Raw genomic sequence first — 27,806 nt, 5'->3', positions numbered from 1 at the left:
ATCAGGAAGTGTGAGTCCTCTTTGTTTTTTCTCTAGATTGTTTTGACTATTCTGGGTTCCTTGCATTTCCATGTGAATTTTAAGATTAGCTTGTCAATTTCTGCAAAAAAGGCAGCTGGGTTAGTTGGTTTTTATGTGTATTTATTAAAAAAAGCAATTACCCGATTAGGCTGACAGAATGATTAGGCTGACCATTAAAAGGACTGGCAACTTTATCCTCAGAGTTTAGAGGTAAGTTTGTAAGAATTCAGGATGTTTGTCTAAGATTGCTTGATACTAGGGCAACAAGACTGAGAGCAGAGGGCACTAAAAAGACTGTCTAGGGGTTAGACATCAATTGTGTTTAAGTCTGAGATCTGCCCCTTAGGTACCATATGACCCTGCACAAGTCATCGACCCCTCCACACTCCAGTGTGTCATCTGTAATGAGGATGGGGCACTCCCTTCCACACTGCAGCACTGCGGGAACCGAGACAATGCCATCGCAGAGGACCTGCAGGGGACAGGCTACTTCACTCACTCCTCTCCTTCCCACTCTTCAGAGAACAAGGACTTGTGCTACTGTATTCTCACAGCACTCACTGGCCTGGGAACCAGCTGTGGGAGCCCTATGGGCCTGGTCATCAACTCTCAACTGCTTGTGTGCAGCTGTAGGAACCCTCTGAGGTGTGGCAGGTAGAGGATGGGGTGGGTGCCCAGGCACACTGCTGACTTTCTGGAGCCCTGCCCACCCCCAACCCTCTCCTTATTACTAATGACACGGGAACCCACCTGCTCCACTGTGCAGCCCCAAGTCTGATCCAAGTCAGGCTCCTGAATGTGAGGAAGCCGAGCATGGGGGCGACAGGGAGGTGGGATGCACTGAAAAGCTCTAACCATTGCCGCTAAGGCACATCAGTCTCTGACCAGGTCCAGCAGCCTCCACGTACGTCCCAGTCCTTCAACACACATTTACTGAATGCCCACTGCACACAGGAGTGTAGGTAATAGCATGGTATGACAGTAAAATTAAGTAAACAACTCCCACTTCTACCTTTCTGGACTACGAAGAGCTCCTCCTGGTCTTCCTTATCATTTCCTATGTGATTACTTCCGGGTCCTCTTGGAGAACAGAGCATTTTGCCTCCCATGCAGTTTTCCACTGCTTGACAGGGAGAAATTCCTCGTGACCTATGGTCCATCGGCTGATCTGGAAGCTGAACCCTTGGAATAAAGACACCTGCATGCTCGGATTTGCAAAAGGAATGGAAAAGAACCCTTAAATATGAGTAAGTCGTGGGAGTAGATATGAAACAGGGTTATAAGCACATCTCAGTGTCTAATTTTACAGAATAAATACTTCTATTCTATCGCAGCTCACATGTAAATCCAGGTAGGTATGTCCCTATCCCACTTAGAATAAAATGAACAGCCAAGTGGCCAAAGTTTCCATAACTTTCCTCCTTGCTGACAAATCCAACCCGAAGTCTGTGCCTCCTAGGGAAAGGACAGGACAAAGGTACAATTCAGTTCCTAAAGTTATTTCTCCCTCTGGGAGAGAAAGGCACTGTCAAAGTACAAACCCAAGTCAGCGTGCTTTGAAAGATCATGTCACTTGTTTGTAATAGGAAATCATGTCATCCAGAGTTTTGAAAGTAACTGTGGGGGCTTGTGGTGGGTTGTCGGGGGCAGGAGTGGGTGACGTATGTTCAGGGCTAGGTCCGTGGCTCTGGTCAGGGCACTGCCCTGGGTCACTCTGTGCTGGCCCAGGTCTGCTCCATGCCTGGCTGCTGGAAAAACCAGTTCTCTTCTGACCCACAAAGTAATCTGACGGCGGGGCAAACTCAGGATCTCTCTCAGCCCGGAGATCTGACTGCCTCTTCGACCAGTATCCAAAGGAAAATTCTGGTAAAAATAAGAAAGAAAGTTATTAGAACTGATTAACGAATCAGTTGAATTTATTGTTACTATTATCTAATTGTATCATATATTTCTTAAAAGCCACCACAAATTATCCAAAGAATAAGAATGGCAACAGCAAAACTATATTACAAGGTATAAGTAATACCTACAACGAGTATAAAAGACCAGGCTAAGAAAAGGGAGTGACTATCTCTAGATGGGGAAATACAGAAAAAGAGAAATACAGACAAATTATCTGCTTGACATGACATTGTAGGTATTTCATACCAAAATACAAATTTTGTCCGTTATTGAGTTTTGGAAGACACAAAAGGGAACTGTCCAACCTTGTCTGGTATTTCATCTCTATTTCTAACAGTGGCTCTTGCATTTCTCTTACTTTAGCTTTGGATCTTATCAGCTCAGACAGCATGGGCTAATGTTCTACTGAAATGATCTTTTTCAAAGAGGCATAAACCATAGTCTTCCAGAGAGGCTGCTGTGGACACTCTGGAGAATTTACAGAAAAAATGTCCAGGGAAATTCCCCAATGGAACCATGTGTGAATCCAGGTTAGTACACTGGCATGTAGACCATTTTCAACTGAACATAAAAGAGGCTGCTAAAAACAGAGCATATGAGAACACCAAACTTTCATAATACTTTAAAGGCAGGTCCTGAGAAATGGCATTCCAAAGCTGTAAAACCACACAAGGCAGCACGAAGTTAAAACTTACCCCAAGTGCTTCTAGAAAAAAAACCATTTTCCATTCACTGGAGAGTTCTTACACCTCAGAGCCCACCTCCCTTACCTTTTCCGCGGTCCCACTCCCGGATGTGTGGCACTCCAGGCTTGGTGTCCTTCCTCTCCTGGACAATGACTTCTACTTTGCTACTCTGGGCAGCAGGACGTGGGGTTGGCACAGCCTCTGGCTCCGGTGGCAAAGGCCCAATAACATCTCCATCTATTTTTTGTAAAAGAATAAGACACTGTTATAAAAAAGCCTAAAGCTATTTTTAAAAATACAGAACATGCTAATCCTGAAAGTAAAAGTAACCATCAGTATTTATGAAGTACCTAACATGTCCCAGGCAGTGGATTAAGTCTTTTGTATACAACAGGTCATTTAATTCTTGTAACAATCCTAATAAATTCAATACTTCCATATTATCCCCATTTTATAGAGGGGGAAAATTAAGCTCAGAAATGGTACACAGGTAGAAAGTGATACGGGCTGGAGTCCTGGGCTGGGCTGGATGGATTTTAGTCTCTGTGCCCCTCACTATGCCACTCTGCTTCTCCAAACTGGCAATTGCAGGACCAGAAATCCCCAAATCACTCAACTAACATCACAATCTCAGGCGAAGCAAGCAGAGCCAAGGGGATGAACAGCTGGGGTCTGGTGTAGGCTGTTCAATTTTGGTCACATTTTTAAAATGTAAAAGAAAAATGGATTTTTAAAAAACACTGTGGTGGCGCTTCACATTTTCTGGACATGACAGATGTTCAGGAGATGGAGCAAAATTTGAGAAACAATCTGCACAGCTTAACATGTTATAGAGCGAGCATTTATCTGAAACTAAACAGATGGTTTTCAAATTCCTAAATGTTTCTGGTCTGTTTTGTTCAGACATTAGGAAATGGCCCATGGCTTCACATAAGCTTTGTGAGAGCTGGAGAGCTATACGTCCCTTCATACCCACACTCCTCCTTTTCCTTTGGGTAACAGAATGCCCCCCGGTTGCAGCTGAGCATGTGGCCACCTTGCTGGAGAGGCCATTTCCCAGCTTCTCCTACAGTGAGGTGTGGCCCACAGGACTGAGCTCTGGCCAGCAGGATGTAAATGCATAGGCTGTATGTAACTTCCCACTCACATCTCTAAAAAGGAAGGTGGCTCCCCTTCCCAGTCTCCCTGCCTACCCCTAGGCTGGATCATGAACAGGTGAGCAGGGGAGCAAGCTTTGACTATGCAGAAGAGAAAAATACTCTAGGAAATGGCAGAAACAGCAAGCCTGGAGGAAGCCTGGGACTAGATGACCATCTAGGGCAGAGCTACTCACATGCCCTGGATACCCACTCACCCACCTACCTCCAAGTTGTTAAGTAGAGAAACAGATCTCTATTTTGTTTGAGCCATTCTATGTAGGAGTCTCTAGATTGATGGCAATTTAGCCTGTACTACCACAACTCATGCAATAAGCTAGTCTGACATAGCATTTAACAGTGTTTCCAAGGGGAACCGTGCTCCAAGTTCCACATCACCAACTTCTGGAGCACAGTTCTTTGGTAAGCTTTGGCAAGCTGTCGATATTCATATTTCTAAATTCTTTTACTATGTAACTTTATGAATATAAATTTCTTTAAATATATATATAAAATAACCAATAGCAAAAAATTTAAGTCTAAAACATATATATGCAAAGCTAAACTTTATCTTAAAATATCTCTTTACTAAGTCTCAATTACAAGACTATGCCATTCTAAGATGCAACACAATGTATTGTTGCTTCATATCCTCATCTATAGCCTAAAAATATTGAATGTCATTCTGCATCACTTTGGTTATAAAAATTGCTCCTGCCAGTACCTCAAAGGTATACTGTTTGCTTAAATATAAAACTAAATGGCTAATTTTCACATTGCCAGCCCTATTAGCAAGACATCAATGGAAATAAAATTTTCCCTTTTGAAGTTCAGCAACATAGCCATGATATACCTCTATTTTCTTCTTCTGTTCCACCTTCTTTTGATTTTTTCATCTTTTTTTGTCGAAGTTTGGCAAGTCTTGCCTCTAAGATAGCCTTTCGCTTTTCCTTTATGTTTTCTCGTTTTGTTCTCTGATCTGTTGTCTGAACAGAAAATCAGAAAATTATTTGCTTGAAGCCAAATTTGCAATATTCCTGTCCAAAAAGATGAAATTTTCTTCTAAAAATAGACTAGTTAATTGATCTTCAGGCCACCTCTAAGAAGCTGTCCTTGAGATCCTCACAATGAAGCCCTATGAAGTACTCTCCTATGAACCCTCTGATGTCTTACAAAGTTTCATAAGAGTTCACAGAGCATCTTGCAAGCCTTAACACTCAAGAAAACCAACCCATTCCGTCCTACACCTTAATCCTTTAAGTAACTTTCTATTTTCCCATCCAAGCCACCCCAAAAGTACCACATTTGGGACCAGATTTAAAACATCAAAGTTACACAGGTTACTTGTGAGCAGTTATAAAATTTGAAACACAAAAATAGTATGGCAACTACCTTTATGCAATTCTGAATATCAATTTTAATTTCTAACTAATTTACTAGATTTTTCTGCAGTATGGTCCAGCAAGAAACCAAGCGCTCACATCTTTCCTCACAGTCACTTGGGATTTATCTGTACCTGTTCACGCAGCATCTCTAAGGTTTTCATCTGCTTGTTTCTCAACTCTTTGTCTCGGGCAAAGGCAAAATACCCAACACCAAGTTGCCGGGCCTCTGAAAGAAGTATGAATTACCCAAAAGATCAGACTGTCCTGATCATTCAACTACACTCAAGCCACATTTCCTACCAAAGCAAAAAGAAACACAGTGATATTTGGCACAAGTTTTAAAAAGAAAAAGAAAACAGCTAAGCGAAGAAACAAAAAACCAAAGAAACACAAAAGTTAGACCAAGTTTTCGTCCTGTTTGCCAAGGGAAGCATAACAAGGGTTCGTTTGCTTTCAGCCATGGGCTGTCTCCACTTCTCTCAGGGAACAATCCCTTGGATTACCAGACCCTCTGTCAGGAAGATATTCCCAAATGTGAGTATTTTAAGGCTATGAAGTGAACAAAGGAGATATTTTCTATTTCCAAAGCAGGATCTTTAATTTCCATGTAAAAGCTATTGCTTTATGAATACTTCCCTTTATGTTTGCCATCAGTTTAAGGTTAAAAATAAGATTTGCAAAGCTGCAAGAAAATAGTCATACCATTTTCCCGAATGTCTTCATAATGTACGGGCCCCATGGGCCTCTTCAGGGCCTCTCTTTCTTCTTCCTCCCATTGCTGGCGCTGAAGTTCTTTTCTCATATCTTCAGATAATAGGGTTTTTTCATTAGCAGGACTAATAAAACTAGCAGGAAAACAGAGCAAAAACTATCTTCAGATAAGGATTGAGATATCAGTGTTTAAGTACAGTCAGTTGCATCATGCATAAGTAACACTATTTGATAAAGAAAACAGGGAACTACAGAGGCTTCTGACCCACAAGACTGCTGGAAAATCAATAAAACAGCCTTCGCCTTTTTTTTTTTTGGAGACTAGTCTTGCTCTGTCGCCCAGGCTGGAGTGCAGTGGCACGATCTCGGCTCACTGCAACCTCGGCTTCCCAGGTTAAAGAGATTCTCCTGCCTCAGCCTCCCGAGTAGCTGGGATTACAGGCACCCACCACCACATCTGGCTAATTTTTGTATTTTTAGTAGAGACAGGGTTTCACCATGTTGGCTAGGCTGGTTTTGAACTCCTGATCTCAGGAGATCCGCCTGCCTTGGCCTCCCAAAGTGCTGGGATTACAGGCATGAGCCACTGCGCCCGGCCAGCCTTCACCCTTCTTACTCAAGCACCAGACTTGTTACCTTAGCCTGACGGAATCTTGCCTGAGCACTCAAGACAAAAAACTTTCCTTCCACCCAGGTCCTGGGCTGACCAGATGGGAGGTGGCCCAGGCAGGGAGGAGGAACTCTGGGTCTCCTCCTGTGGATGGTCTCTCATCTGGGGACATGAAAACTGCTTAGCACTGTGGCCTGAGTGGTGTCTCCTGTCCTTGCAGATGGCTGGGCCCTGAGAGGCTCAAAGGTTTCCATTCTCCCTTTCTTTCTTTTTTTTTTTTTTTTTTTTTTTGAGACGGAGTCTCGCTCTGTAGCCCAGACTGGAGTGCAGTGGCGTCATCTTGGCTCACTGCAGGCTCTGCCTCCTGGGTTCACGCCATTCTCCTGCCTCAGCCTCCTGAGTAGCTGGGACTACAGGCGGCCGCAACCACACCTGGCTAATTTTTTTTTTTTTTGTATTTTCAGTAGAGACGGGGTTTTACTGTGCTAGCCAGGATGATCTCGAACTCCTAACCTTGTGATCCGCCCGCCTCGGCCTCCCAAAGTGCTGGGATTACAGGCGTGAGCCACCGCGCCCAGCCTCCATTCTCCCTTTCTTATGCCAAGCCAAAGGCTATGTGCTGGATGCCTGAACCTGCAGGACTTGGACAAGGTGGAGTTTCTCCCAACACTTTTCACATAAAAGTTCCTATGGTAAGAGGAATTTATTCCCCTGGATGTTTCAGAGTTATCTCTTAGGTCTTACGTTTTAGAGTTATGTCTTAGGTCTTAGGCCCTGCTGAAAAATCTAGTTATAAGGCCCTTACTTCAAAAATGCAATGATACATAAAGAAAAAGTGAGTAAGTTCTCTCCCTAGAGCCACTTGTTTGTGGGATAATCAAGTGTATATTCTCAAACCACTTGTCTCCACAAAGCCTGGTTTGCTGGTTTCGTTTGGGTTTATTCTGTTACTCTGTTGTCAGACATCCTTCCAAGTAAAAGAGACAGCTCTACTCATCCACCAGTCAGGTTGTTCCCCAAGTGTGGATTATGTGTGTATGTGCATGCTAACCACTAAAAAGTGCTTCAATCAATCAATCAATCAATCAATATCTCCTTACTGGAGCAACAGAGATCATTAATTATAAAACAGCCTCCCCTCACAAAACAATCCCTGTGGCTGCATTTCAGACCTTGGCAGAGCTCTGTATACCACACACACTTACAGTCTCCCCTGAAGATTTTTATCCATCTCCAGCAGATCTGGCAAATCCTTTCTCATACAGCGCCGGGAACGCCCCAAAGAGTCCACGTAATCCACCCTGAAATGAAAGCAAAAAGATGTGAAGAAGGACTTGTACACATGTACAAGCCCCTAAGTCAGGGAGTAGGTGAACAGTGAAGGGGGAAGATAGGCCTCACTACCAAGAAGAGCCCCCAACCTCAGAGACCACTACCACTGATAGGAATATGCTTTTTAAAGCTGACACACAATAAGCTCATTGTGCCCCTTATTAAATATTAGTTTTAGAAACTGTTAACAATAATTTTGATCATTTATGCCTTTGATCTCACAGATAAATCACCCACACGGAATTTTGCTGCAGCATCTACGAACTTACTTTAACCTAGTTGAGACAATTCCAGACATTTTATCAGTATCTTAATAACTTTGCCTTGTGCCTGAGATTCTCAACTTGCTCATTTCCTCACAGTCTTCAAGTCTGACTTTTTATTCTTTCTCTTATTTCCTCTAATTGGTATAATTCTACCCAATGTATTAGCAAACTCTTAATGTAAGAAATGCACAGTATTTTTCAGAGTTGGACTCTTCTTAATTAGGAGGAAGCCAAACACCATACCTCTCTCCTCATCTTTGCTCAAACTAGACAGTGGTCAGACAGCTAAGCCAGGCAGATAGCAAGGCAAAGTGAAATATTCTGACTTCCTACAATGGAAAATACGGACAGATGTTCATGAAAAACATCTCATTTGTATTATGACGCAACAGATATTTTACTTTTTAAATTATGGGCAGAGAACCTCCTAGAGCCTTTAGCAGGGTACCGAATACACAGTAAGGTCCAATAAGTACTAGCTGGCAGACCAATTCAAGGTCAGATTTGGCAGGTATGTGGCTTTGCTTTTGTTAGCAATTTTTTTTCCTCTCAAGCAATGCTGATTTCAATTGTTAGTTGTGATTTAAAAACTGAGTGTTTACTCTAGTACTGAAGCTGATTATCACAAGAAATAAAACCTCCAACTGCAGCAAGCAGTTTCTTTCTTCCTTTTTTTCCCCCCAAATGGATGGGGGAAGAAAACCATCTAGCCAGATGGTCTGTGTAATTATTTACAGTATCTTTACGGAAAGATTTTCTACCACCTGGAATTTAACTATCAAAAGGATTTTACAAGCAATTACAATTCTGGAGCTTAATTTAAAAACAAAAAAATGTGTCAGAACTGCTTGCAGAGCGTCTTCCTTCACCATATGGTGGCATGTGACACCTTCAATTGCCCTCCAAACTCTTCAAATCACTAGCAAATTGCTTGTAATCACACAGGCATTAATAAGCAAAAATTTTTAAAAAGACATTAGACCTTTCAAAGGAGATGAGATTTCTGCTATGAAAAGCAATCATAGACCATTCTGTTTCTGGAGAAGGCCTCCAAAACATACAGATCTCATTAAATAGAAGAGGCAAGACAGTAGTCAGCCACGGCTCCATCTAATCAGCAATCACCCACTGAGCAACCCCTGCAGGCAAACAAAGCTTTCCCCAGGCAAGGAGAGTAATACAAGAGGGCTAACAGCCATGCCATCTTCCAAGGGTCTAGGGAAGTTAAGGCACACACCCATGAAACGCTTATTAACAACACTGGGTACGTAAAGACTACCAAAAGTTTGCTAAAATCTTTTTCTGATAATGAGGCCTAGTATGTGTCAGTAATAAATAAAAGGTAATACCCGAAGAGCAGGAAGTATATTAAGTGCTACCTGACTTCAGATGAGGGAGCAATCACTTAGACATTAGAAATGATAGGCCAGGCGTGGTGGCTCACGCCTGTAATACCAGCACTTTGGGAGGCCCAGGCAGGAGGATTGCTCAAGCCCAGGAGTTCAAGAAGAGCCTAGGCAACATAGTGAGACCTTGTTTCTACAAAAAAAATTAAAAACTGAGGCAGGAGGATTGCTTCAGCCCAGGAGGTCGAGGCTGTGATGAGCCATGATCATGCCACTGCACTCCCACCTGGGTGACGGAGTGTGGAGACCCTGCCTCAAAAACAAATAAATAAAAAAGAAAGAAAGAAATGATGAAGAAAGACACCAAAAGAAGAGACTGCATGTTCTTCTCTTTTGGTTTCTTATAGCTTGCAGGCTGACACCTGTTCCAAATGGTATCAAACTATTTAGATCTAAGTTTTTAAGACAGTAGGTAAAAAGATACCTGTTTTATCCCAATGAGAATGTTATTTCTAAACCAACATGGACACCCTCAGTAGAATGAAGATGCAGTTTCTCTGCCATCCACAGTAGCTGGGACTGCTCTCTTCAGCTCATCAATGACTGCCCACAAGGCCAAAGGCTGACAAAAGATGAACGCCTGCTACAAAGAGTCCTGAGCAGTTCCTAACAAATGCCCACCACAAGGAGGACATTTGAGCCTTGAAAGGAGGATAAGAAGAATCCCAAAGGCAAGAGGATGGGTTCCCAGGAAATTGTCAGAGCATCAGTACAGCTCTCAGCAATTTCAAGCACTGCTGAACAGTTTCCAAACAATAATATCTTAGGTAGAAAAAAATCATTGTAACAGAATTCCCATTCTGGTCTCTCTACTTATTGATACAAAGTCTCTTTAAGGAAAAGACGAGTTTGGTTCTTCTATCATTCATCTACATATAGGCAAAATTCAGGAAAATGACAATAATAAAAGTTTACAAAATGCCTGCTTATACTCCACAGGCTGCACTTTCTTGTGTAGCCTGGAACACTTACTTCTTGAAGGGGGGCGGGGGGGTGTTAAAGCAAAGGGCCATGGGAATGAGGCATTATAATCTCTATTTTATAATGGAAGATCCTGAGCCTCAAAGACTAAGGAACCTGATTAAGATCATACAGCCAGTAAAAGGTGCAGATGGAACCATCCAAGGCCCACGAGTCCACACCACAGTGCCAAACAATGTCACAGGCGGAGTAAAACACACTGTGCCACCTCTGCCGGCTTCCTTCTCCTAGATGACAGCTCTCCACCATGTCAGAACAAGAACACGGGTAAGGCAGCAGCACAGGTACAAAAGGAAGGCGCTCTGCCCTCACTGTTTCATGTTAGTGAGCCAGGCAAGCCAAGTCTGCCAGGCACTGGGTTTCCTTCGGCCTGGCACAGAGCTGGGCACACAGCAGAAGCCCAGTCAGTATTTGTAATTATATGTAATTATTGTAATTATTGTAATTATGTCTTCATTTGAGCTACTGTTTTTACAACTATAATAACCTAATCCAACCTAACTTAAAGGGAAGTCTCAAAAGAACACCCAGGAAGAATAAAGAGAAATGGCTCGATAACAACCCAACAAAATCACTCCCAAAATGTCAGCGCAAGTCTGAGGATGTTCCTCTGAGCTAATCCATGATGTTACCAACCATTCTTCACTGGGGTCTTGGGGAGGAGGGATCTCTCCCTCAGGAAGGTTTTCCTCATCGTCGTCCCTTTCTCCTGCCTTTTGAGAATCTCTATGGGCACCAGATGCCTCCATTTCTTTGCGCTTGTCTATGATCTTCTGTGTGAAATCCACAAGGTACATATCCTCTACTTCTTCATCTAGGACATAAAAATCAGTTTTCAGACATCAAAAAGGAAAATCACACATGGAATGGACAAGAAGCAGTCACATTCATTGCCTGGTGGCCCCATCACCCCTGACAGCTCATCAGCCAATGCCTCCACTCCCCAAATGTTTACAAAGACACACAGCTACCTTGGGAACTGACATATACTACACAAAAAAATCTTGAAAAAGCCTAAAGTTTTCTATTGCCTCATCAATACACTACCTGAGTGAGCAAAACCATCTTAGAATGTCATTTTAAGATAACACAACAGTCTGATTTTATGCAACTCATCCAACCAATTACATCATACGGAAGCAAAACTGCATTTTCCGTGTCATCAGATCAGGACAGTAGAACTTCTTGCTTTAGGCGTTATATATCTGTCTCACCATGTGGGCTGGATCACTAACCCTGATTATACTGCTGTGGTATGGTAAGTGTTTTAAAGGTCATAATACAGGTAAAAGAAGTCATCTGAGTTCTTGTCAAGCCAATGAACACCAATTCCAGGCAAGGCATAGAGCCCGGCCCTGCAGGGCATATACAGATATGCAAGACACCCTCTGCCTGCAGGGCTTATGGTCCACTCGAGGAGCTAAAACACACACTGAAAGTTAAACAACAATCCATGACTTACCTAATTTAACCCAGGATAGCTCATGTAGCACAAATAATGTATACCTAAAGTTTCACTATGCTGGATTTAGGACACAGTCATTTGAGTCTTTTTCTCTGATGACAGAGATTAAGCTACATTGAACCCACATTAAGCTCCCTATTACCAGGGGTGGTGTTTTCCCCACCTTAGGGTGAAGAAAAACTGAGGCTCCAAAATATAACTTGCCCAAACTTGCAGGTCTGACATATCTATCAGGAGGTAGGCTTGCTGGCTTTGACAAAACCAGGTCTCTACCTTCACACTCCTTTGGACCTGATTTCTATATTAACAACATAAGTAAAGTTTGAATCAAAACAGAAAAGACTTTAATAAAATAAACTTTTTTTTTCTTTTTCTGAATCTGAATCTCACTCCGTCGCCCAGGCTAGAGTGCAGTGGCACTATCTTGGCTCACTGCAACCTCCGCCTCGCGGGTTCAAGTGATTCTCCTGCCTCAGCGTCCTGAGTAGCTGAGACTACAGGTGCCTGCCACCACGCCTGGCAAATTTTTGTATTTTTAGTAGAGATGGAGTTTCGCCATGTTGGCTGGGCTGGTCTCAAACTCCTGACCTTGTGATCCACCCGCCTCGGCCTCCCAAAATGCTGGGATTACAGGCATGAGCCACCACGCCTAGCCTGAAATAAACTTATTTTTTAAAACCATGAAATACCTGAAATGGAGAGGAAATGTCTGAGTTATAAGGCCATAGGCTAGTGAGGCCTCCTGGTAGGCGGCCATCCTGCTGCCCCTTCAGGAAGAAGGCAAAACCTCTCCCACAGTACCTAGCTTTGTTGAGTGTCTGACCTTCCTGTGCCAGGCTCCTGCTATACAGGGAAAGTGCCCCTGCTGTCTGGGAAGAAGCGGTCAGGGACCTAGGACCAGCCTGGCCTCTCTCCTACTGTACCTGGGCCCCAGCCATGCTAGGCTAGGTGACTCTGTTGACCTCTGGCCCTGCCCTCCTCAGCTGGTCTGCTTACCAATCTACCCCTGCAGGATCCCTTTCTCCAGCTTGCCAAAGCTAAGCCCAACTTCTCCCAAAAGACTTCCCTGATTACATATTCACTCTCCCTGCCTCATAAAATCTCTTCTACTGTTGTCTAATTATGGATTGGGTTTTTTCTGGGGGATATGAGAAAAGGGAGTTTTTTGTTTTTTTTTTAGAGATAGGGTCACACTCTGTCACCCAGGCTGGATCATAGCTTACTGCACCGAGGATGCAGTGGCATGATCAACAGCTCACTGTAATCTCAAAGTCCTGAGCTCAAGCCTCAGGCTCCTAAATAATGGGACTATAGGCATGAACCACCATGTCCAGCTAATTTTTAAATTACTTTTTGTAGAGACAGAGTCTCACCATGTTGCCCGGGCTGGTCTCAAACTCCTGCCATCAGGTGATCTGCCTGCCTTGGCCTCCCAAAGTGCTGGAATTACAAGCGTAAGCCACTACACCCAAACAGATTTAAAGCAATTATAAGCACAGCACAGAAAAAAAATTGAAAATAGAGGGAAAATAGGGAAAGAAGAAACATAACTCTAGCACCTAACAGAACCACAATTCCACCCAGCCCAACCCACCCTGTTTTAGCACAGCTGTAATTGTAGGTAATTGCGGCCTACTCAGACATTGTTCCCTAACTTTGCTTTGTTCTGTGTCATTTTCCTCCACCAGATGACCCTGCCTTGAGGGCAGAGACAGAGGATCTGGCTTCCAGTACTTGTTTGTCCCTTCCAGGCACCTAACATGCTGCCAGGCACCCACTAGACAATTGGTAAATTATTGCTGATTTTCTTGTCTCTGTGCAGCCATGGAAAGTAAAATTTTGACGTCTAAATTTTCTCTCTACTCCTACAGTTATTTTAACAAGTAATGTAATATCAAAGGGCTGTATGCATTATAGAAAATGAAGTAGAAATAACAAATTTTATTTACCTATAAAGTCTCCTTTAGTCATTTTTTCATATAATTTGGCTTTTTCTTCCAATTTTTCCCTAGGAGAAAAAAAATACAAGTATTAGAAATGGTCTTATAACTGTTCATCCTGGTTGCCCCCACACTCCCTGCCTGACAGGTACCATCTGCCCATGAGGCCCAGCCTGTCAAGACAACCACAACCAGCACAGACCACACCATCCTGAGGAGACCCTCAGACCACCCTGCCCCATGTCTGCTCTGCCAAGGAAAACAGAAGCTCCGTGAGTGCATGGCCTGTGTCCTCTTATTTATTACTTGGTCCCAGGGCCTAAAATAACACTTGGCACACAGTAGGTTCTCAATCAATATTTGATGAATGAATAAGTGGATCAACTGACTTAAGAATCCAACAACTTAATTTAACTGCCAACTTAAAACAAATGTCAACATTCCAACAAAGCAGCCTCTCTGCTCACAGTAATTCTGATGACATGTATTTTTCAGTGGTACAGACCATGAGAGGGTAAGCAATTCTTTATTCTGGAAATACTTAATGATGGTAAAGAGAAGCCCCAAAGAGTTCTCTTGTGGATGATCTGCGAGTTCTCTTGTGAATGACCACTCTTAATCACAATGTCAGAAACATTCCTCTTTTATTTTACACATCCATTCACCAAGTACTTATTGCACACCTCCTACCTGCCAAGCACTGTTTTAGGCACTGAGGACTCACAGGAACAAGAAAAAGTCCCAGCTTCCTGGGAGTTCCCATTCTAGAGATGGAGAAGGACAATAAAGAAAGGAATGAAAAGGAGGACCTGAGACTGTGAGAAGAGCTGTGAGGGGAAGAAACGCATGCCAGCAGAGAGGCCCCTTGACATGCAGTAATGCAGTGCATGGTGGACCGGCTCACTCATATCAGGCTTCTAAGACCCCTATTTTGGAGGGCTCTTACTGTAACTAGCTGGTCATCAGAGGATCTTACTGTTTTAATGAAAAGAAAACTAGAAAAAATTTAAAAGTCAAACAGAACACAAAGCAACAAGTGTCAGGTTAGAGTGAGTGGGCAGGACACTAACTGAGAGAGGGCAGTCAGGGGAAACCTCTCTGAACATGAAAACGGAGCCATGGCTTGCACAGCAAGAAGCAGCCAACCACAGGAGGATCTGGGGGCAGGGAAGGCAGGTCAGAAAAAGGAAAGATTAAGTGAGGATGAGCTTGACATTTTCAAGAGAGACCAGTAGAGCAGAGGGTGCTGAGCAAAATAGAGAATGGTGCAAAATAGAGACAGAGACAGGCAGGGATGAGAGCACGTGAGAAAGGATATGAAACTTGGTGCAGTGTAGCAACAGTTTTCAGGGGTTAGGAACAGACTACAAATGGATAATTGAGATCAAGGAAGGTGTCAGGGAAACGGCCGCTGGATTTAGTGGATGAGGATGTCACTAGTGACTTTAAAGAACAGTTTCTTCTGTTGAGTTAGAAAGATGGGATTCAGAGCATGAGAGCAGGGACACTGCCTGCAACCTCTAAGTGCCAGACACTATTTATCTCCTTTAATTCCCTGAAGGACTTCATAACCTAAGTATTAACCACCTCACTTCATAGATAAAGAAAGAGTCTTAACAGATAACTAACTTGCCCAAGGCCTTCTACCTCAGAAAAGCCTGGGACTGTGCTTGCGTGTTCTGAGCTCTGGAGGGAGGCAGACATCCTGCAGTTGTCTTGACTCCCACAACACAGCAAAACCAAAGTGCTTCATAAAAGTTACTGCATAGAAAAAGCACAGCAAAGTGCCAAGAAAAACTCTTGATACACAGAGCAAAATAATAAAAGATCATGGTAACTTTGGACAAAATTAAAATTCTGAGAATATGTCCAAGAGTGGGAAATGTCTCAAAACTGATCATATCTTTAAGTAAAGCCTGAGGTCTGTTGGGGACAGGTCAAATGCTAAGAAAATGTCCCCAAATGGGCTAATATTCTGCCTTCTATCTTCAGACCCAAGATTGCTGAGCAACCTTGGCAACTACTGTTTGGGACCACAGAATTTTATTATTCCATATATCCAAAAGCACATGTAGCAGTCATGCCAAACATTGAAACTTGGGATTCTCTCTGAGGGTGATGCTGTCTTTTCTTTAGAAAAATAATAAAGATGGAATGACAGAATTAGAAAAATCATCATTCTGAAACCAGCAATGTGATAACTGATAACTATCAAGATTCATCAATGATAACAAATCATTGCATGGAAATGAGTTGGTGAAGAGGATATTCACACAGTCTCCAAATTTCCCACTTCAGATTACTATTAATTACAAATTGGGGAGGCACCTTTACAGTGGTGAAACCAAGCATATATACCTTAACCAAGTAATCAAACCTATCAACACCAATAACGACTCAAACTGACCTTATGAGCCTCCTGATGTGATTCAATGGGAAGGACACACCACTGCCCACATAGTATTCTTACCAAAAACATTTCATACGACTCTAATTGGTTGTGGGACACTGCAGAAATAACTGGCCTGGACCCTTTAAAAACGTTAATGGCATAACAGACAACCAAAAGGCAAGGGAACAGTTCTAGATTAAAGAAGACTAAACAGATTTGACAACTACAAACAATGGGTAATCTTTGAATCCTGGATTTTTTTTTAAATCTATAAAATACATAATTGTACTGGGATAACTGGTGAAATCTGAATATGGACCACAAAATAGATAATACTAATTTATCAGTGTTAAATTTCTTGGGTTTGATAGCGGTATTGTGGTTATGTAGGAAAATGTCCTTGTTCTCAGAAGATATAGGCTGAACGACTTACAGGGAAAGTATGAAGCTTAAAGTCTCTCTACACACGCGTGTGTGTGTGTAAGAGAGAGAGAGGGAAAGCACATGTGACAAGATGTTAACTGGGGAATTTAGGTGAAGAATATTAGAATGTTCTATGTACCCTTGAAGTTTTTCAAAATAAAAGGTGGGGGGGAAGTTTAGGGTTTCTAAATTCTAGTGTCATCCCACCTAGCCCACACCATGGGAAAACCTCTTAAAAATGTATTGATAATCTTAGTGTCTAACAAAGGCTGACAGCAAGAATGTTTCATCTTATAAACTGTGACTATGTTTTACCTTTTTATAAGACTACAGATATATCTGCAAATTATATTATTTTTAGAGTACTTAGAGCATTGGGCTAGAAGGATGTTAAAAATAAAATTTGTAAATCAAAAAGGACAAAATTTGAACTTCCATTTCTCTGCCTGGGTAGCCTCAAAGCTAACTATATTTACCAGAGCTTATAACTTTACCTTGCTTTGTCTAAAGTCTTCTGTTCTTCAATCTTCTGTTCAGCATCCTTCTCAGCTCGATTTGAAACGCCTACATTCTGTTTGCTCCAGATACTTGGTTTCTGGAGAATAATTTTAGAAGACAAAACAGAACCACATGATTGCCAAAAAATCTCTACTTGTGCATCAGGAAAAAAAAAAACAAAGGAGATCATGAGTTCTTATGAATCAATGGAGATAACTAGATAAGCTGTGTCCTACAAAGATACTGACTATACATGGCAAGCAGGAGCTAAAAAAAGAGCCCTCAATTATATAAATAACTTTTTTTTTTTTCTTTGAGACAGGATCTCACTCTGTCACCCAGGCTGGAGTGTGGTGGTGCGATCTCAGCTCACTGCAGCCTCAACATCCTGGGCTCAAGTGATCCTCCCACCTCAGCTTCCCAAGTAGCTGGGAATACAGGTGCGCACCACCATGCCTGACTAATTTTTTTTTGTAGAGACGGGGTTTTGCCATGTTGCTCAGGCGGGTCTCGAACTCCTGGGGTCAAGTGATCTGCCTGCCTCGGCCTTCCAAAGAGATGGGATTAGAGGCGTGGGAACCACGCCCAGCCTAAAGAGCTTCCTGAGTGCAGAATCACTTCCTACTATCTTTTATCTCCTGAATGATTACAACCTAAATCAAGATTAATGAAAATGTACATATTACAGAGAATTAGTAATACAAATAGTAGACACTATTACCTATAAAACTGGAAAAATTCACAGCTCTTATACACCCTGATATTTTCCGCTATATTCCTATATTATCTAATTGTTTATCTCTATTTGGATACCTAACACTTATAGAACCAGATAACCTTCCATCTGTTTATGAAATGTAAACAATCCACATTTTTCCAAAAGAAGTGCTAAAGAATTAGCACATTACTATGTACTTTTATATAATCTTACTAATTTCTATTTTAATAACATTTCATGCAGATGTTAAATACAAGATAGAGATTTTTCCTTAACATTTATGTGTACAGATACCACTGACAATTTTAAAACACTTAAATATGGTATAATTCTCCCATGTTTGGAACCAATGGAGATAATTAGATCTTATTTTTTACCTTGTTAGTTGTTTTTGGTTTTCCAAAAACTCCAGAATCTTTTAGAAGTTTTTCTTGTTTGAATTCTTCTTGCTTTCGGAAGAGTTCAGCCTTAAGATCTACCAACTAGAATGAAAGCAGTAAGTAAACAAAAATATTAAATTCCTGCAGGTGACTGGATTGCTAAATTATTATAATTTCCAAAGGAATATTTCAAGTTCCGCTAAATGGACAAATATGGCTAAAAAACTAAATGTTTAAGTAACTAAATGTTTAAATGTAGAATCCAGTACACAAATTAAGCTAAGTCATGTTTCATTCTACCTCTGCTGCAAATGCATTTTTACTCTGACTTTCAACACTCGAGGCTTTCCTTAGGCAAGGAGAAAGTGATAAAGCAAAATAAATTAATAAAGTCTGCATCTTTTAGTTTCAGATTAAACTTGCATTATTAAGCACCTTCTCTCTGACTAGCACTGCACTCATTTCATCATCACAACTTATTTCTACAGTGAAATGCTGTAGAAATAACGCTGAAGAGCAGAACATAAACATGAATTAGACATACTCTCTGCCTCAAAGAGCCTACAATGTAACAAGGAAAGTAATTTATACTACCAACAAAATAAAACAAATGACTCTAGAGTGGAAGAAAGTAGCACATAAGTTCAGATAACAGAGCATTTCCTTCTGAGCAGAGTGATCAGAGAAAGCTTAGAGCAGAGCCTTTAAAGACACATTATTTCAACAGCTAGAAATAAAATAGACTGGGTGAATTATAACAGCTCCACGTTTGACTTAATCCATTTCAAAAACCGTAAGCTTGGCTGAATCACACGGTTCAAGAACAGGAAAGAAGGCCAAGGCATAGGGAGTGGGGCAGTTGGGTGAATATTAGTACCTTTCCCTCAGCTACATTAATTACCCCTGCCTACTCTGCAAAAAAGGATATAACAACAGTTTCCTTTTTAATGGTCCAGGTACAGCTGCTTATATGGATGGGCATTTGTAAATCAGATACTTCATCACTGTCTTAATCATCAGATACTTAAAAAAATCACTTTATTTGTTAAGGAAGATAAAAATGGCTGGGTTCAATTTCCGTTTTGGAAGAAATCGATTTAAAAGGTAACCATTTAATAATGCAAAGGGCAGTTTCACTGCAGACCCTAATACTGGAAATTTTTAAAAACAAATGAAAAACTTCTACTTTTTCTTCTAAGCTTACTTAACCACACCAAATTTTCCAGCCACATATCTTCCTAGTCTACAACTGCCTTTAACTTTAAGAGATGCTCAAAAAAATGTAAATTCTCAAATAGCATTCTTATTACAATTACTGCTAACCTGTCAGTATAGGTTGGCTTTAATATTTATAGCTTTCTGGTTCCTGATCTTCAAACAAAATAATAACTGGTACCAATTTTAACCAATAATAGTTACCAATAATAACTAGTACTCAAATATTGGGACACCTATATGTTTTCCTTCCTACTCACTTTGTGTCCTAATACTCTGAAGTAAATTCAAGATTAAATCAAAGGTTGGGCAATTTGCTCTGATGATGAAAAGGCAGCAGCTTTGGAGTCAAGTAGAGTGAGTGAGAAAGGGTCTATCACTAAGATTTCTTCCCCCCGCCCCCCGCCCCTTAGACGGAGTTTCGCTCTTGTTGCCCAGGTTGGAGTGCAATTGCGCGATCTCGGCTCACCGCAACCTCCGCCTCCCCGGTTCAAGCGATTCTCCTGCCTCAGCTTCCCGAGTAGCTGGGATTACAGGCGTGCACCACCACGCCCGGCTAATTTTTTTATTTTTAGTAGAGACGGGGTTTCTCCATGTTGGTCAGACTGGTCTCAAACTCCCGACCTCAGGTGATCTGCCCGCCTCAGCCTCCCAAAGTGTTGGGATTACAGGCGTGAGTCACCGCGCCCGGCTATCACTAAGATTTCTGTCTGTAAGCTGGGGAAAGCTACTTCATCTTTCCAGGCCTCAATTTCATCATCCATAAAACGGAGATATTAATAGCACCTACCTCCTAAAGCCATTGGGAGGATTCAATGAGATAGTGCATATAAAGTGCTGGCACAAAATGTGTACTTAGAACAAGTTTTCTTTCTAGAGTAGCTGATGTAATAAATCTGCTTACATCCTTTCAGACCTCACAACTCCCTATGCCTGCATTAACAACTGTTTAGTTCCAGGGAGGGCACGCTGGACACTTTCGGGTCCTGCGAAATATGTCACACTCTAAAGTTCTGGGAGGACTTTGTGGGTCCCTGGATGGAGGAGAAACCAGGAAGAGGATATGTCTGCATAGCAAAAAGAAGCTAGGGTTCCTCCTGACTGTAAGGGAGAAGGCTGACGAGGTGCAGGTCCTTGTGGGCAGGGCAGAGGTGAGGCACGGAGTTTCCTAACCCACGGGACACCAGGTTCAGATCCGTGTCCGAGGGTTCTGGCCCGGGCGCATGTCAGAGGAGAGTAGCCCAATTCAGGGTCCTGTAAGAAAACTGAACCGGATCCCCGCCGGAGAAGAAAATCCAGTTCGGGGGTTCCTGTTTGAGGGGAGAGGTCAGGTCTCTGGGTCCCCGAGTGAAGAAACAAGCTAGGTCGACATTCTTGTCTGATGGAGACACGGTGAACCCGGAGCCCGTGGAGTTACCTCATACCCTCACTCACCGAGGAGGCCGTGACGTCCAAAGGCTTTTTCCTACGGTCCATGGTCGTGGCAGAGGGTCCCGGTCCAGGAAGGACCCTTTCTACCCGACACAGGCCTCGTAAGCCTACCTCCGTCGCAACCGGAAGTGTCTTCGACAGCGACACTGAGTTTGCGTGAGTTTGCGACGCGAGTTTGTCAGCTCAGCGCCATCTTGAGAAGGTCAGAGTGTGGTGCGTATTACGTTCACCATCATTTTGGAAAGGTCATAGAGTGCGGAGGTTGACGCTAACTGCTAAGGTCATCTTGAGGGCGGAAGGTAACAAGGATTGGTGTGGGCGCCATCTTGAGAAGGGCGGAATAAAGCTTTTGATTGCGATGGACGCCATATTGGGTGGGGCGGATGTGGGGTTGGCGACAAAGATAACGCCATCTTGGGGAAGGCTGACGCTTAAGTAAGTGAACTCGAGCGTCTCGGGAAAGGTGGATTGGGAGGACCGGAAGAATCTTAACTGCAATTCCAGGACCTGCTGCCTGGCACTTTTCACACGTTAAATAGTTGGTTCTTAAAAGAGCGTACGAGATAAGGATTATTATATTAATCTTAGTAGAAATAACAAGAATAATAGCTAACATTAATGTAGTGCTTATTATGGGCCACTTTACATATTTCAGCTCTTAAGAACGTGAACTCCTGGGCCGGGCGCGGTGGCTCACGCCTGTAATCCCAGCACTTTGGGAGGCTGAGGCGGGTGGATCAGGAGGTCAGGAGTTTGAGACCAGCCTGACCAACATGGTGAAACCCCGTCTCTGCTGAAAATACAAGAAAAAAAAAAAATTAGCCGAGCGTGGTGGTGCGCGCCTGTATTCCCAGCTACTCAGGAGGCTGAGGCAGAAGAATCGCTTGAACCTGGGAGGTGGAGGTTGCAGTGAGTCGAGATCAAAAAAAAAAAAAACAAAGAACACGTGAACTCGAAAGCTGACTTTCTGGGTTGGAATCGCTCTTCACGGCTTACTGCTTGTGTGACCTTGGGCAAGTTACTTAACTTCCGTGTGCCTCAGTTTCCAAAGGGGGATATAATTTTATTTACCTAATGGGTCTTAGTGAGGATTAGATGAGTTAAATGAGCTAGTCTTGATAAAAATGTTAATGATTATGGTAGACAGACCAATCACCCTCACCCCGACTCCCAGATGTCTACCTTCTAATCCCCAGAATCTGGGTATATGGTGACCTTTATATAGCAAAAGAGAATTGGCAGAGATGATGAAATTAAAGCGATTGAGATGGGGAGCTAGCCTGGATTGTGCAGGTGGGTCCCCTATCATCAAAACCATCCTTATAAGGGGTAGACAGGATGGCCAGAGTCAGACAGAGATCAGAGATGCTTTGAAGAGGGAGAGTGGGACCACATGCCTAGGTATGCAGGAGGCCGCTAGAAAAAGCAAAGAAATGAGCCCTCCTCCAGAGTCTCCAGAAGGAATGCAGCATTGCTGACACGGTGATTTTAGTCTTGTAACACTCATCTCAAACTTCTGACTTCCAGAACTCTACCAGAATACGTTTGTGTTGTTTTAAGCCACCAAACTTGTGGCAATTTGTTACAGCAGCAAGACGAAAGTGATCATAATGATTGTAACAGTGGCATTTAGTATATGTGGGGCATGTGTATGACTCTTTGCATAGATTATATTATATAATCCTTGCAAGAATCCTAGAAGCGGACCTATTATCCACCATATTAGAGAGAAGAAAAATGAGACTCATCACATCCTCATCTCATCTGTCTTTATGGAGAAAATGGGAAAAGGGAAAAGGAGAGGGGAATTGAGGCAGTTGACTGTGTTCAGTCTTATTTATTTATTTTCATTTGTTTATTTCTCCAAGTCCGCCAGTCTCTGAAATTAGAACAGTAAGCAATATGAGATAATCGGGCCTAATAATGTTGTGATTCTCTTTTCTTAATGGAGTGGAATGTTCTGTCCCCACAAGAAGGATTATACCTTATAGACTTGTCTTGTTCAGATTCTGTATTTACCCATTTTACTGAAACACATACTAAATTCCATGTGTTTTTGTTACAAATCTTCTGAAAGAAAATGTGAAACATTAAAAGGTATTAATAATAATTTTTTTTAAAAGGAAAAAAAATGAGGCTCAGTTGCTTAAATGGCATGCCAGGGGTCATTTCCCAGCTAGCAAGTGAAGGAGCCTTCAGTTAAAAAATAACTCAAAGACATTGAGTTAATTATTGGCGTGTTATTTACTTGTAACTAGTGGAACCAGTATAGACTGACTTCATCTCAGAAAGCGAGGAAAGGATTTATATAGAAGAAACACAGCTTCTAAACTATGAATGTTGGTTTTTTTGCCTAGCTGGACCCTGGCAATGAAGCCAGTGAGTGTTCTGATCCTGGAAAGCTAGAAAGAAAGTAATTCTAGTTGCACGTGAATGTCCCTGAAGACCATGAGAATTTAGCTTCCTCTGCACGATGCCTGTCAGGGTCCTTGGTTGTCATCTCCATCTTAGCGATGCAGGTTTGCACCCTCACCCTTGTCAGAAATTCTCCCTAGAGTGGCATCCAGCTGATTGTAACCACCTCCCAAGCCACTTAAATGACCAGGAGCAAGCTAGTGAGTCCCCTTTATTCCCAGGCTCACTCATTTTGCAGGCTGCAAAAGCACAAAATAACTTAATCTTGCATTGACCAGAATGCTCCCCTGTCATACAAATGATTTTTCACATATCCCCCCATTTCCTCAAACTCTCTCCTCTTTGTTTATGTGTTCCAAGCATCTGGGTCTATCTGGAATTGCCTTCCTCTACCAAGTACAAAAGTTGAAGCCCAGCCCAGTATGTTCTTTACTCAGTCACCCTCTAAATACATGGACCTGGGTTTGTTCTGGAAGAAAGGGAGGGCAGGGACATCCTAGTCTGGTGAAAAGAGCACAGGATTTCCTCCGAGGCCGCTAGCACTCCGTTCCAGCTACGTTCCTTTAGTTAGTTTGGCAGCTCCCATCTCCCCTCTGAGCCTCGGTTCTTTTACCCAGTTGGGCACACAGGATGTTTGAGATAAAGAGTGTAAGAATGGTTTGCAAACTGAAAATGCTGTGCCTGCATCACTTGCAGGATAGTTCTGCTCAGTGCCAGTTTTCTCACAGCAGAAGGCGTGTGCGTACCAACAGTCTGTGTTATGACACTGCATATTTTGCAGTGTTTTGACCTCCGGTTTGTCCTTACCCCTGTTGAGTCCCAAGAGAGTGGGACTGGGTGGGAGATTGATTATCTTCTTCCTTCTTATATCTTACTAGATTTTAATTATCTATGAAGTCTTTTAGGTGCTTTAAATAAAGGGGGAGAGAGGAAATCTTCTGAAGCAGATGACAATTATTTCCCCCAAGCACAGCCACCAAGCCATGCTCTTATTTTGAATGATCTGCGTCATTTTCCAACATGAAGCCTCAGAAGGACATGATTACAGGCTGGACTCACCGACTGTAGCCTGTGCAGCTATTGTAATGTTTTAATCAGTGATTAAGTCAAGAGGTTTAATTTAGTACCGGGCTCCGTTAAGCTTGTGAAAATGGTTTTCTGCCTCCTCAAACTAAAAATGTGTCTCTCCCCCATGTGTCCAGCCCGAAGCATCTTAACCTTTGTTCTATCTTCAACACCGCTGGCTCTAACAAATTACTCAGCAGTGAATGAATTAGCTGAGTCCAATGTGTGAAAAAAGATTAGGCTGGACCTAGGAAAATTAGCTTCTAAGCACAGCACAGGATGAGGCATAAAGATACCTGGACTCGTGCCCTGCATGACAAAGAAGCTAAGCTTCATTAGCGTCAGTCATGACATCCGTCATTGGCATTATCTCATTGAATCCCTGCGACAACCTCAGGGGCAGATGCTATTATTATTCGCATTTTGTAGATGAAGAAAACTGAGACCCAGAGAAGGTAAATAACTTGTCCATGGTCACACAGGCAGTCTTGGTCCCAGGATTTGAGTTGAGGCAGCCTAGCTCTGGGATCCCCACACTGTCCTTCCTCCCTCGCTGGATCTGAGACTACGTTAGCTTTGCATTCATTCATTGATTAACTCTGTTGGGGAAAGGGGACATTTTAGGGAGCTACCCCAGAATAGTTCTGCAGGAGGGACCTGTCTTTAGGTCATTGCAAGCAGAGATGACTAAGGAGGTGAGTGCCAGGAGTCCTGACCATGCAAGCTAGAACTGGACAAGCATCATTTGGTATCACGGAGAGCCCAGCCGAGCTTGCAAATCTGGAGTAACAGGATGGCCTATGGGGCTTTTTCTGCAGCCTGGGGAATTGGTGCCTGAGGCCATGGCTAAAAAAAAAAATGAGAGTTGCTAAAAACTACAGCCTCAAACTCTTAATGGGGGCCCAAGTGCTGCCCCCCAGCTTCAACCCAATGGCTTACTATGAACAGGAGAAGATGCTTTATAGTGCTCAAATCCACCCGACCCCACTGGATTTAGAGAGGCAGCAGGGAAGTGGTAGAGGGAGCTGTCCACATTATGAGATGTTGGCCTCATAGAGAGGGACGGGAGGGACATTTCTCTAAACTCCTAAAGCCAAGTGAGGGGCTCCAAAGATGAGGAACAGAGTTCAAATCAGAGATCTGGCAATGTCATGGTGGGGAGTCTTGAAGGTGACCCAGCTGAACCCAAGAAGTAGGAAAAAGCAGAGAAAAGCCACAGCAAGAAGTAGGGAAAAGCAGAGAAATGCCACAGTAAGAAGTAGAGAAAGCAGAGAAACATCACAACTAGAAGCAGCCCAGGTCCCCGACCCTTCTTGTTGGCCCTGCGTTAGTTTCCTAGGGCCACCATAACAAAATGTCACAGACTAGATGGCTTGAAACAATAGAAATTTATTGTCTCACAGTTCCAGAGACTGGAAGCCCTAAATCAAGGCATCGCAAGGCCAGGTTCCCTCTGAAACCTGTAGGGGGAATCCTTCCTTTCCTCCTCCCAGCCCCTGATAGTGAGTGGCAGTCCTTGGCTTTCCTTGGCTTCTAGATGTGTCCCTCCAGCCCTGTCTTCACGTGGCCTTCTCCCTGTGCCTGTCTTCACATGGCCGTCTTCTTACAAGGACACCGGTTATATGAGGTTAGGGGCCCACTGTACTCCAATGTGACCTCATCTTAACTGATTGCATCTGTAACAACCCTATTTCCAAATAAGGCCACATTCTGAGGTACTGAGGGATAGGACTTCAACAGATCTTCTTTTAGGGCGGGGTGCAGTTCAACCCAGAACAGGCCCTCCGTGTCAGTCTTGAAAAAGGCCAGCAGAGACCCTCAGTACTAATGGGAGAGGAGACCTGAGACCCGTCCCAGAGAGCCGGGGTTTATAAACTGGCTGAGAAAGGGACTGCCAGAGGGGTCATGAAGGAATGACAGTGGTGGGGGGCCAGAGGGGCTGCCTGAAGTGGAGATGGGACAGAACAGAACTGCTCTGTGTGCACGCCCTGTCCAGGCCTAGCTGCTGGGGAGCTGGCTGCCCTTTCCTGCCAGTGAGGCCAGTCAGTGGGGTGCAGCAACCCTCACCCCCCACAGCAGGAAGGAGGAAACAAACTTTGGTTGGAACCACGGCGGGGCGCAGGCAGGAACTAAAGAGTGAAAAGGAGAGCACTCACATTTGGGGAGGCACACAGAGAAGACCTTCTTGTCTTGCAGGGCTCTGGGGAGCAGAGCTATCTGGGTGGAGTATGGCCAGATGTCAGCAGCACCCAGGCCAGCAGGCTCACATGGCTGAAGGAGTCAGGATAGGATGGAGGCCAGAGAACATGGAAGTGGGGCGCCCACATCTCCTGGTGCTTCACAGGCCACTTATAGGGACTTGGCGTTTACTCTGTGTGAAGTGGGAGCCGTGGAGGACACTGAGCAGAAGAGGTCTGTGGCCCAACTTAGGGCTTCATGGGATCCCTGTGGCTGCCAGATTCAGAAGAGACCATTTTAGCCAGAACAGTTCCCTATCTGCATACTTCCCATGGACACACAGCAAGGGAGGCGACCATGTACCTCTGTTTTAAGGACAGGTGTATGCCTAAGAGACCAGACAGAACATGCTTTATGTCCACTAGCTGTGAGCCTTCAGATAGCAGCCACTGTGTGCCAGGGACTCTGGTAAGTATGTTATGTATTTTTTTCTTTGAATAAACTTTACAAAAATTTCAAACACCTTTATACATACAGAAAAGTTGCAAAGATAGTGCAGAGTTCCCACGCACCCCACACCGTTTCCTGTGTTGCTAACGTCTTACTTTTCTTCATCGTCCATTCATCACAACTAAGAAACCAATCTTGATACATGCTGTTCATTAAACTCCACCCTTTACTGGATGTCACCAGTTTTCCCCAATGTTGTTCTCCAGACCAAGGTCCCATACGGGACACCACATTGAATTTAACTGTCACATCTCCTTAGTCTCCTCTGGTCAGTAACAAATTCTCAGACTTCCCTTGTTTCTGATGACCTCAATCGTTTTAAACAATATAGATCAGGTATCTTATAGAATATGGCTCAGTGTGGATGTATGTGATATTTTTCTCAGAGTTTGCATGGGATCATGAGTTTTGGGGAGGAACACCGCAGAGGTGAAGTGGCATCTTCATCGCATCATATCAGGGGTATGTGCTGTTGAAATGACTTCACGGATAGTAACCTTGGTCACCTGGCTCGAGGTAGTGTCTGCCAGGTTTCTCCACTGTAAAGTCACTTTTCCCCACTTTCCTTATCTACTCTTTGGAAGCAAGTCACCTAGATCAGCCCACTCTCAAGAGGCACTGTAAATAGTTTTTAAAATTTTATTTTTAATTGACAAATAATTGTACATATTTATGGGGTACAAGTGATGTTTTGATAGATGTTGACAATGTGGAATGATTAAACTGGGCTAATTAACAAA

General features: G+C 43.1%; 1 protein-coding gene and 2 long non-coding RNA genes across 6 annotated transcripts, besides 6 other annotated features; 2 read left to right on the top strand and 1 right to left on the bottom strand.

Annotated features, from left to right (window-relative positions):
• CCDC174 (coiled-coil domain containing 174) lies at window positions 125–21,018 on the bottom strand. Of its 4 annotated transcripts, NM_016474.5 has the most exons (11): window positions 20,902–21,018; window positions 18,250–18,354; window positions 17,151–17,251; window positions 13,851–13,909; window positions 11,073–11,250; window positions 7,657–7,752; window positions 5,833–5,975; window positions 5,262–5,356; window positions 4,599–4,731; window positions 2,694–2,846; window positions 125–1,884 (listed from the first exon to the last, which is right to left on the bottom strand). In NM_016474.5, exons 1-11 carry the CDS (start codon window positions 20,941–20,943, stop codon window positions 1,586–1,588), a joined length of 1,404 nt encoding a protein of 467 aa, NP_057558.3. In that variant the 5' UTR covers window positions 20,944–21,018; the 3' UTR covers window positions 125–1,585. The 4 variants fall into 4 exon arrangements, 3 of the variants coding, with proteins under 3 accessions (NP_057558.3, NP_001397648.1, XP_016862044.1); NR_135523.2 differs by lacking the exon at window positions 5,262–5,356; NM_001410719.1 differs by lacking the exons at window positions 4,599–4,731; window positions 5,262–5,356.
• Window positions 453–662: an enhancer, noted in NCBI's record as "active region_19516". NCBI's record gives its function as "activates an Ori minimal core promoter by ATAC-STARR-seq in GM12878 lymphoblastoid cells {active_cell/tissue: GM12878}" and the evidence as "EXISTENCE:reporter gene assay evidence [ECO:0000049][PMID:35858748]".
• Window positions 453–1,796: a biological region, named in NCBI's record as "BRD4-independent group 4 enhancer GRCh37_chr3:14712491-14713690".
• Window positions 597–1,796: an enhancer, noted in NCBI's record as "BRD4-independent group 4 enhancer chr3:14712491-14713690 (GRCh37/hg19 assembly coordinates)". NCBI's record gives its function as "activates an origin of replication core promoter dependent on BRD2, P300/CBP, MED14 and CDK7 cofactors, and independent of BRD4, by STARR-seq in HCT116 cells {active_cell/tissue: HCT116}" and the evidence as "EXISTENCE:reporter gene assay evidence [ECO:0000049][PMID:35650434]".
• Window positions 6,718–14,068, top strand: LOC124906215 (uncharacterized). The gene is made up of 3 exons (XR_007095827.1): window positions 6,718–7,143; window positions 13,590–13,689; window positions 13,990–14,068. It is a non-coding gene; the product is annotated as an uncharacterized LOC124906215 (long non-coding RNA).
• On the top strand, window positions 20,659–27,806 carry LOC124909347 (uncharacterized). Its single transcript, XR_007095826.1, has 2 exons — window positions 20,659–21,111; window positions 21,554–27,806. It is a non-coding gene; the product is annotated as an uncharacterized LOC124909347 (long non-coding RNA).
• Window positions 20,706–20,775: an enhancer, noted in NCBI's record as "active region_19515". NCBI's record gives its function as "activates an Ori minimal core promoter by ATAC-STARR-seq in GM12878 lymphoblastoid cells {active_cell/tissue: GM12878}" and the evidence as "EXISTENCE:reporter gene assay evidence [ECO:0000049][PMID:35858748]".
• Window positions 20,819–21,477: an enhancer, noted in NCBI's record as "H3K27ac hESC enhancer chr3:14692810-14693468 (GRCh37/hg19 assembly coordinates)". NCBI's record gives its function as "activates a minimal SCP1, AML or CMV promoter by ChIP-STARR-seq in naive H9 embryonic stem cells {active_cell/tissue: H9 hESC(naive)}" and the evidence as "EXISTENCE:reporter gene assay evidence [ECO:0000049][PMID:30033119]".
• Window positions 20,916–21,315: an enhancer, noted in NCBI's record as "active region_19514". NCBI's record gives its function as "activates an Ori minimal core promoter by ATAC-STARR-seq in GM12878 lymphoblastoid cells {active_cell/tissue: GM12878}" and the evidence as "EXISTENCE:reporter gene assay evidence [ECO:0000049][PMID:35858748]".

The sequence above is a fragment of the Homo sapiens genome, chromosome 3 (genome assembly GCF_000001405.40).
Source record: "Homo sapiens chromosome 3, GRCh38.p14 Primary Assembly".
NCBI classification, from domain to species: Eukaryota; Metazoa; Chordata; class Mammalia; order Primates; family Hominidae; genus Homo; species Homo sapiens.
The sequence above is the reverse complement of the archived record's forward strand: the minus strand, read 5'-3'. Positions and strand labels throughout refer to the sequence as shown.

Coding starts and splice junctions, on each gene's coding strand:
- CCDC174 (NM_016474.5), bottom strand. CDS start 20,943: ATGGACCGTAGGAAAAAGCCTTTGGACGTCACGGCCTCCTCG. Junction 18,355..20,901: donor TGGACGTCACGGCCTCCTCG/GTGAGTGAGGGT, acceptor CTTTCATTCTAG/TTGGTAGATCTTAAGGCTGA. Junction 13,910..17,150: donor AAGACTTTAGACAAAGCAAG/GTAAAGTTATAA, acceptor TTTTTCTCCTAG/GGAAAAATTGGAAGAAAAAG.